The sequence below is a fragment of the Homo sapiens genome, chromosome 4 (assembly GCF_000001405.40).
Source record: "Homo sapiens chromosome 4, GRCh38.p14 Primary Assembly".
Classification (NCBI taxonomy): Eukaryota; Metazoa; Chordata; class Mammalia; order Primates; family Hominidae; genus Homo; species Homo sapiens.
This window is the reverse complement of record NC_000004.12, coordinates 33,515,145-33,524,242: the sequence shown is the minus strand read 5'-3', so window position 1 is coordinate 33,524,242 and position 9,098 is coordinate 33,515,145. Positions and strand designations below refer to the sequence as shown.

The following is a 9,098-nucleotide window of genomic DNA, read 5'->3' as shown; positions in this document are numbered from 1 at the left end:
GGGAGAAGTTTGTCTTCATATTTACCACAACCTGCTGAGAATTGTTCTGTTGTAAAGCTTGGGGCAAACTAATTCCACTATGACTTATGTTGCTGCTATTTTGACTCACATCACAATATGTAAGCACTTGAGTTTTTCATCCTCTACTATATTCTAAGTGTTTTACTACTTTGCACTTCCTTTCTCCTAGTCAATCCACTCTCTGTTCCCAACTTTCTCAAAATTTCTACTGTGCAATTCTAGAAGCCCAAAGTATGGCTGAAACATAAATTCTGTTTTGCAAGATACAAAGTAAAAATATTTTGCAACTACTCAGGTATCACATTATCAGATCAAAATTTGCCCAGGACAAAATTGAATAGATAATGAAGACATTATTCAATATTGTTAAAATGGGAGAGAGGGCAGAACTCATTCCAAACTCAACTACACTAAAACAGAAGGAAAGGGTATTTGAACAGTTAGGGTGAGCTAGTGGAAAAGTACTGAAGAACATTAAAAGGGAGGTTGATCAATGAGATGTGTTGAGCATGTTGAGTTACTCCCCAGTATGTAAATGTTTTTCTTTGTAATTAAGTCATCTGTGTTTGCTAATATGCACCCGTGGAAGTTAGGTGCCTACCCTCTCACAGTGACTGAGAAATAGAGGTATTATCTTCTTTGATGGTTACATTTCAAAGGGACAGCTTCCAGGTTCTTGAGAAAGACAATACAAGGTTGTTGTTTAAGTAGTACACAAGGATTTTATGAAGATCTAAATCTCAAAGAGGCAGAAGAATTTATCACTGCAAGTTTTCTGAAGTAGAAGTTCTAATAAAAGGAAGGTAAGACCTATTGGCAGAAAGAAACTTATCTAAAGTTTAATTCAGCCGAGGGAAACACAAAGGCCCTTGGGTCAGTACCCTCTCTCAGCCTGTTATGTCTTAAGTACAATCAGAGTTTTCTCTGAAGACAGGGAATGTACCAGGTTTTCACTGATTTCTTTCTCCATTCCCTGCATCCTGATAACCTTCTCAAGCCAATCAGTTGGGACAGTCATAGAGATGACCTTAATTTAATTTTTTTTTAGTTTTTATTATCTTGCTCCACTTCTTAAGATGATAGTGCTTTATTGTCTGTGAATGTGTATCAACTATTGTTTTTTATATTTTATCCTCTTTGGAGGAAAGTAAGCAGTTTTCTGTTTCACTGTGTTATTATTACTCCCTCTTGACCCAAATCAGAATCCCTCATTTATTTAAATATTTTCTATATTACTGTTACTTTCTACTTCCACTGTGCTAAGACATTATAAATAATATAAACATATTTAAAATATTTTTAATTTGATAAAATAAAATATTTTCAATATTGATTTTATTTATTAATGGTACAGATCTTTTTCCTACCTCAAAATGAACATTTAAAAATATTCTAAATTTTTTTTTAATCTTAGTTTTATTTTAGTTTGGTAAGGACACTACACATGCAATCCACCTTCTTCACAAAATTTTTAAGTGTACAGTTCCATATTATTGACTAGAGGTAAAATGTTGTACAATATATCTCTAGAGCTTATTCATATTTGCTTTTTAATTGCCTTACTGATTATGATGGTTTCACATACTTATTAGCATGAGCGACAGCATTAAGCATAGAGAAAGTAAATCAAATTTTTAGGAAGAGATATATGTATTTGTACCTTTATCTTTAGATGATTTTTTTGTTAGATCCAATTATTCAATTGCTTTTAGCTCAAAATGTTGCTTCCTATTGGCAGCTTGTACTAATAGTAGATAGACTATCTCCGCCATTTTCTTACAAGTTGATTTTATGTATCACTTCAGTGTTAACTTTATCAGAGCTTCTGAACTTGACTATGCAGTCAGTGAACTCCCCAACTCTAGTAGGTACAATTTTCACAGAGTCTAAACCATATGTAGTGAACTTTGCTTAAAAATCTTAAATGAGTTTAGCATATATTATACATCTATATTTTCCAAGCTCTACCTGCTGAGAGGGTCTAGAAGCAATGACACCGTAGTAGCACAACAAATACATCCAACACCACACCCAAGTCTTGGTTTCTAACACTACTCTCAAATAAAGGAGCCTGGGATAATGCCTGATTCGAGGATTGGGGCAGGGAATACGCAAGATGAATCTGGAGCATGTTATGATGTCAGAAAGCAAGCAAGTGTGCTAAAAACAACAACGTTTATTAATGGGGGTATGACAAAGGGGGCAACTATGAAAGTTTCTAATTGTCAAAGCTGGAACAATTTAAACAACAAAACAAAGAAAGAAGGATTGAATTAAAACAGAAGTATGAAGTAAATATTCATGTGTTCATAATGATATAAATTATAAAATACATAAGTAATTGGTAAAAATAGACAAATCTCCCATGAAAAAGAATCTCAAATACTTTATGTAGCTAATTCCCCATTAAGGTGATAGAACATAACTTTCCTTGAAGATAAATCTGCCGTTCAAGCTTCTGGACCAGCAGCAAAGGAACTAAGCAATACCATATAAGGCCCCTTAAAATACTAATTCAGAGGAAGAGCGATTTGCTAAACACAGCAGGATTATATTCTCTCAGATCTGTAGCAGAAATTGTACCCACAAAAAACACCAACAGCTTCACCCTAAGAGACACAAGTGGAAGCTAGAAGCCAGTATATGATAAACCAATCGCATAAAGGCCAGACCCACAGATGAGCCAAGATAACATTGTATCTTTTGTATGATGCTTCAAATGGGGCAGATTGAGTTATTTGACATTTGCCATGATTCAGGCTTCATTACCTACCTTGACTTCCTGGGCAGTTAAATGAAAGAAATGTCATGTGGGGACAGATAGTACAGCTACTCTGTTACCAAATTAGTATTTTGACTTGAAATTACAGATACCTATGTAAAGCACTCATACTTAGAATTCTGAAACTCAGTTTTAAGGAAATTTCTGAGGTAGAACACATTTTTATTTACTTGTATAATGTCAATGAGATTGAAAACACAATGGGTAGTAGTAGGTTTTATTATTTTTAAATTCTGTTCAGCTGTAGGGGGCCATAAACAAAGTTGTTCTAGTTCATGTTGACTGGTCCAAAGCTGAAAATTGCCTGAGATTTCTTACAAATACATCAACAATCTATATTCAATACCCAAACTGAATATTTACCAGTGTTACTCTATACACAAAATGAGCTCTAATTTCAAGCAGTGATGTGCAGAATGTAATTATAAAGTCTTGTCCTTTGTGCTCTAACATTGATTCCTTTGTTTTTTTTTTTTGTTTGTTTGTTTTTTCTTTTAGGTTTTCAGGGTTTATTTCATATTTATGTGGATGTATGCCTTTCAATTTCTATTTATAGTTTCTATTTATTTTCTATCTTTTGCTGTCCCTTGAATTCCTACACATTTATTATAGAATAAAAACTTTTATCTCTTCTAAAAAAAGAATGAGAAGTGAGGGACAATTGTCAGGTAATTTTTAGGAAAATGCCATCTAATCTTTTCCTAGCCATCTTGTGATATAATCTGAAAGTAGAAATGTTAACAGATGTCGTGACTCATGTCTAGTTTTGAATGTTCACCAACTTGTGAGCTAGATAATTACAATGAAGTTTGAAATGACTGAGGCATATAACATATATTTCAATTTAATGCCAGTTTTTAATGGTAAAAATTTGGTTCCACTGAAACTCCGTAATGCTACAGAGAGCTACTATTTTTCCAGGAAGTAGGTAAACAGCTAAAAGATATTTCTTTCTTTTTTTTTTTTTAGTAGAGACAGGGTTTCACCATCTTGGCCAGGCTGGTCTTGAACTCTTGACCTCGTGACCCACCCACCTCGGTCTCCCAAAGTGCTGGGATTACAGGCATGAGCCACTGCATGCGGCCAGGAAGATATTTCTTAATTGTAATTAAGATGTAGATGCATGCTGAAAAACAGCAAAAAAAAAAAAAAATAACAATGAAAGCAACAAAGATCATATTAGCTAAGAAGACTATATATGTCAGAGAATACTACATTTCAATCTTAATGTTTCTTTGACACTTTGTATTTCTTTTAGCGTGTTCCTTCCAGGTGACTGTAGTTGGCAGGAAGTAGGGAATAGTTTAATCAGTATTTTCCACTACTGTATTAATAAATAATTTTGTTAAAACCCACTCTCTGACTCCATACCCCTACTTCCTGAGCATTGCAGTGCTATGAAAACATAAGTGATTGGTTTTTTATTAGAGTGTTTCCAATAGGTTATGGTGTCTCAGCATATGAATGTCTTCCTTAATGAATGAGTCTTTTTATCTAAAGGGAGGATGCTAATTCACACCATATTTCTCTCTAAACCTAAGCGGCATGTATTAGAACTGAAGTGCTTATTGATTTAAATTTCATTGCCTGTTTATTATAAAATATAAAATAGTCTTGGCATTGTTTTTGAAATATTGATGAAATAGAATAACGTAGGCATGAAAAAACTAACATTATTGAAGTGCTATAATAAAATTTAATGTCACCTTAATGAACAAGATGAATTAGAAAGAGTGACCATATGGCTTTTACACACCTGTGCTCATCAGCATGTGCATATAAGGGGAGCTGCCAATACTTCAAAATAATTATTTTATAGGAAGAAAAAAAGTTAGGTATCCATCTATCAGGGATAATGCTATTGTTTAAAATGTGTGTGCATGTGTGTGTTGTTTTTTTTTTTTATTTTAGGAGGGAGAAAATATCTCTTTATAATGGCCTTTTGGGAAAAAATAATTTTAGACTTAGCAATTTTTTTGTAAAAGCCATATGTTATGATAACCTTTAATACCTGATATATAGAATATTTAACAGCTGGACTATCTAAAAGCTTTGTAAATTAAAGTAATTCCATATATGTGAAGTACAAACATGTATTCCAGATTAAGTCCAGATTATACGTCTCACTGAGGTTTTAGTTCACCTCCTAACAACAACATGCACCCTCCATATTATTATTTTCTACTGCCTTTCTTAATTTTCCCCCTCATTTATTTTACCATTTTTAACATTTTATTAATACTATTGTTTTTAATTTAGACGTTGAAGAGAATCAGTCGTCATTATAATTCAGTGGCTTCGATACACTAAACCTAGTCTCTCATTCCAAGTAACCAGCCAAGTGTGACAGCTCTCATTTTCAAACCTTGGATAGTCTACGTGAGAGCAATCATATGTGTCAGTTGGAAATCTCACCTCACAGCTATTGAACAGATGGATTTTAAGGGTATAGCTCCTTGAAGCATCTTGACAAGACAATCTAGTTTGGTTGTTAAGAAACCAGTGTCGATGTCTGAGCATGCCTGCATGGTTTTCTTCAAGAACCCAACAAGGCTTTCGAAATTCACTCAAATGTTTAAAGAACCCATACTATTAAAATTCCCTTTTATGTGTTTAGTAGTTTTCTGTTGCTGAGTAACAAATTACCTCATATTTAGCAGTTTAAAGCAACACAAATTTATTATCTCAGCTTCTGTGGTTAAGAATTTGGCGCATTTAATTTCAATCTTCGGCTAGGAGTCTCACCAGGCTAAAATCAAGGGGTCGACTGACTATCCTCATCTGGAAGCTAATCTGGAGAAAGGCCTACTTCTAAACTCTTCCAGGTCGCTAGTATAATTCATTTCCTGTGGTCATAAGAGGTCCTCTTGTTTGGCTAGGTGCTGGCCACGGATCATTCTTAGCTCTCAGAGGCTGATCTAAAGTCCTTGTTACTTGATCTTCTCTATCTCAGCAATAGAAAATGTTCTTCTCAAACATGAAATATCTTTGACTTTTCCTTCTGTGACCAGGCCTTTCTGTTTTTAAAAGGTCTGTGTGATTAGGTCACACCCACCAGCTAAGTTCCTTATCTTTAAGCCTACTGTGCCATATTACATAACCATGGGAGCAAAATTCATCGTATTCATAGTCATGAGAATTATATAAAGCCTGTATCAGAGGGGTTGAGAATCTTGGGGACATCTTAGAATTCTGCCTTCAATATTTGTAGATCAATGATCTCTATGAAAAGGAGTTCAGTTTTAACTTATTTGTATTACTTTATAGAAGGGACCTAACACACACACACACACACACACGAAACACAAATTATGCAACTGATGAAACTGATGAAGAATGTAATCCTGTAACACCAGTGCCATTGAACCAACACTTCACAATATAGGAATGTGTACACACACACAAATACACACATGTGTGCACACAAAAACATACACACACACCTCAGAGATATTAACAATATTTTTTAATGTCTTGGTGTTCAGGTTTATATCAATGTGAATTCTCAGTATGCATCAGCATAAAAATGAAAAAAACAAAATAGATTCAACATGTTATCTATACTTTTCATTAAAAAGTTATAATTTAACTACTTTTGTTAAATGAGAATTAACTGTTAACAAAGAAGTATTTCATAGTATAAAATATTTCATCCTTGGATTTCAGATCCAATTCAGCTGAATTCCTCCTATAGCCTAGGCCAAGTTTCTTTCTTTCTTTTTTTTGAGACAGAGTCTCAATCTGTCGCCCAGGCTGTAATACAGTGGTGTGATCTTGGCTCACTGTAACCTCCGCCTTCTGGATTCAAGCAATTCTTCTGTCTCAGCCTCCCAAGTAGCTGGGATTACAGACATGCACCACCACACCTGGCTAATTTTTGCATTTTTAGTAGAGGAGGGGTTTCACCATATTGCCCAGACTGGTCTCGAACTCCTGACCTCAGGTGATCCATCTGCCTCAGCCTCCCAAAGTGCTGGGATTACAGGTGTGAGCCACTGTGGCTGGCTGGCCAAGTTTCATACTCTCTCAAAGACTGGCTTTACTTATCTATAAATCTGGGACAATCAAATTATATTGAGATATCAAAATAATGCATATAAATCATTTAACAGAATGTTTATATGGTAGGCAGAATTTTTAAGATGTCTCCTATCACTTCTGTCCACTCTTGTGTGATTTCCTGCCCTTGAGTGTGGGGGACTTCTTGATGATAGAATACATCTGACTTAATTATGTTAAATTATATAGCAAAGAGAGTTCTCAGATGTAATAAAAATATATCTGGAAAATACTGTTGAGGAAAAGCAGAGTGTTGGGAAAAAAGCTGAGGCAGGGCTTGTATGTCTGAGATAATGTAAAAGAGTCTCGGAACATGTCCAGGGGCCAGGGTCTAAAACCCCTCATGGCCTTTGGAACACCAAGCTCCGTGCCAAAGGGTGGAAGGCTGCCCTGCCACACCACAATCTAAGTCCAGGGCATAAAACCTCTAGCGGCTTGGACGAAATCCAGGGCTCAGGGCATAAAGCCCCTCATGGCCTCTGGAATGTGTCTAACCTTGCTAGCTCCTTGCTTCTAGCACTCCCAGGCTCATAGATCGATTGTATCTTAAACTAGAAGAACATATTTCTCATTATCTCAAGTAGCAGAACATGTTCCATATGCTTCAAAGAAAATGCTAAACTGTCACAGCTGTAGATCATGTGCTTGATACAGCACTTTCTTTCAACCCCCACAGACTCACCACCTGCTTCTTTGTTTGATCACCAATAAATAGTGTGGGCTTCCAGAGCTCAGGGCCTTCGTAGCTTCCATACTAGTGTTGGCCCCCTGGTCCCACTTTATGCACTCTTAATTTGTCTTGTCTCATTCCTTTGACTCTACCGGACTTCATGGCCCCCACAGCCTGGTGTTGGGTCTGATCACCCCAACAAAATACCTTGATTCATATACCTGAGTTCATGTACCAAGAATTCAACCCAATCCAATCAGTTAAGTTAATGAAGGTGAAGAATATCTATGTGAGCCTGACCAACTTAGGAGAGGCATTAAAATCACTGCCCTTTCAAGTGTCAGAGATATACAAAGTATAAGAGGGTATAAGGAAGGGGTTATATTTCAAGGACATTTTACTTGCCTCTGGAAGCTGAGAATAAGCTCTGTATCAAAGCCAGCAAGTGAACAGTAACCTCAGCTGTACTACAACTGCAAACCACTGAATTCTGCCAGTAATAATGTCAACTAGAAAAAGGACCACAAGCTCCAGAAAGACACACAATTTAGCTGATATTTGGATTTCACCTTTTTAAGATCTTGAGGACAGGACTAAGTCATAAGTGACTGAACTTTTGACCTTCAGACTGTTAGTTAATACACAGGTATTGTATCAAACTACTCAGTTTGTACTAACGTGTTATAAGGCAATAGAAAGTCAATATTTTTTAGCTCATATCATGCATATGGTAAATTAATGTTATTATTACCAATGTCTTCCAAATTAATAATGCTATTTGAACTGGTTAGAAATTTTTAGAAAACATTGCATTTTTTTGTTTTTAAGTCAAAATCATTCTAAAAAATACCTGCCATAAGTTTTGCATTATACTCACAGAGTGGGCAAAGCAACAGAGCAATAATCAACATGTTCATAACAAGCTATGAAATCTATTAACTCATTATGAAAGCTCTTTGATTTTAATTAGCTTCACAGAGTTTTGAGACCTAAAGTACCAGTAATTTTGAGATTATGTTATGAAATTGTTAAAGAAGAAGGAAGAGGAGGAGTAGAGGAGGTGGAGAAGAGGGAGAGGAGGGGGAAAGGCAGGAGAAATGGGAAAAAGGAGAAAAAGGAGAAGCTAACAGTATTGTCACAGCCACAGACACCTCCAGGGAAAGAAGAGGTAAACCAAGAAGTAGATTATGTTGAAAAACACAAAGTAATTGAATTGGACTTACATGGCTTGAAAAGTGACTTCATAATATGATCTTTGGAAACTCATAACAAGGTCCTGTTTAAAATCCTTCAGTGTTTCCCCATAGACAACTCCCAGTGTTCCTAACATCTGATTTTGGATGCATTTCTATCTTCAGCTATTAGTTCCTTCCATAAAAGCTCTGTCAAACCAAAAAACTCTTCTTGATTATCTAAAAAGCATATATAACTATACCTCTCTAAAGCCTTTTACTCTTTCTTGAATACACTTTAAACACCTACTTAATAATACAAAAATCTCCAACTCTGCTGTCATCTTTTTTAAGTTCTCTACAGATTCTAAAGCCTGCCTTACTATTACACTAT

At 35.5% G+C, this 9,098-nt stretch overlaps 1 long non-coding RNA gene across 1 annotated transcript in view, besides 1 other annotated feature; it reads right to left on the bottom strand.

Annotated features, from left to right (window-relative positions):
* Window positions 442-1,044: an enhancer, noted in NCBI's record as "NANOG hESC enhancer chr4:33524821-33525423 (GRCh37/hg19 assembly coordinates)". NCBI's record gives its function as "activates a minimal SCP1, AML or CMV promoter by ChIP-STARR-seq in primed H9 embryonic stem cells {active_cell/tissue: H9 hESC(primed)}" and the evidence as "EXISTENCE:reporter gene assay evidence [ECO:0000049][PMID:30033119]".
* Window positions 3,809-9,098, bottom strand: part of LOC105374391 (uncharacterized) — a 52,893-nt gene continuing 47,603 nt past the window's right edge. The window contains exon 3 of the long non-coding RNA XR_925178.3: window positions 3,809-3,929. This is a non-coding gene — a long non-coding RNA (uncharacterized LOC105374391). The remainder of the gene's footprint in view (window positions 3,930-9,098) is intronic.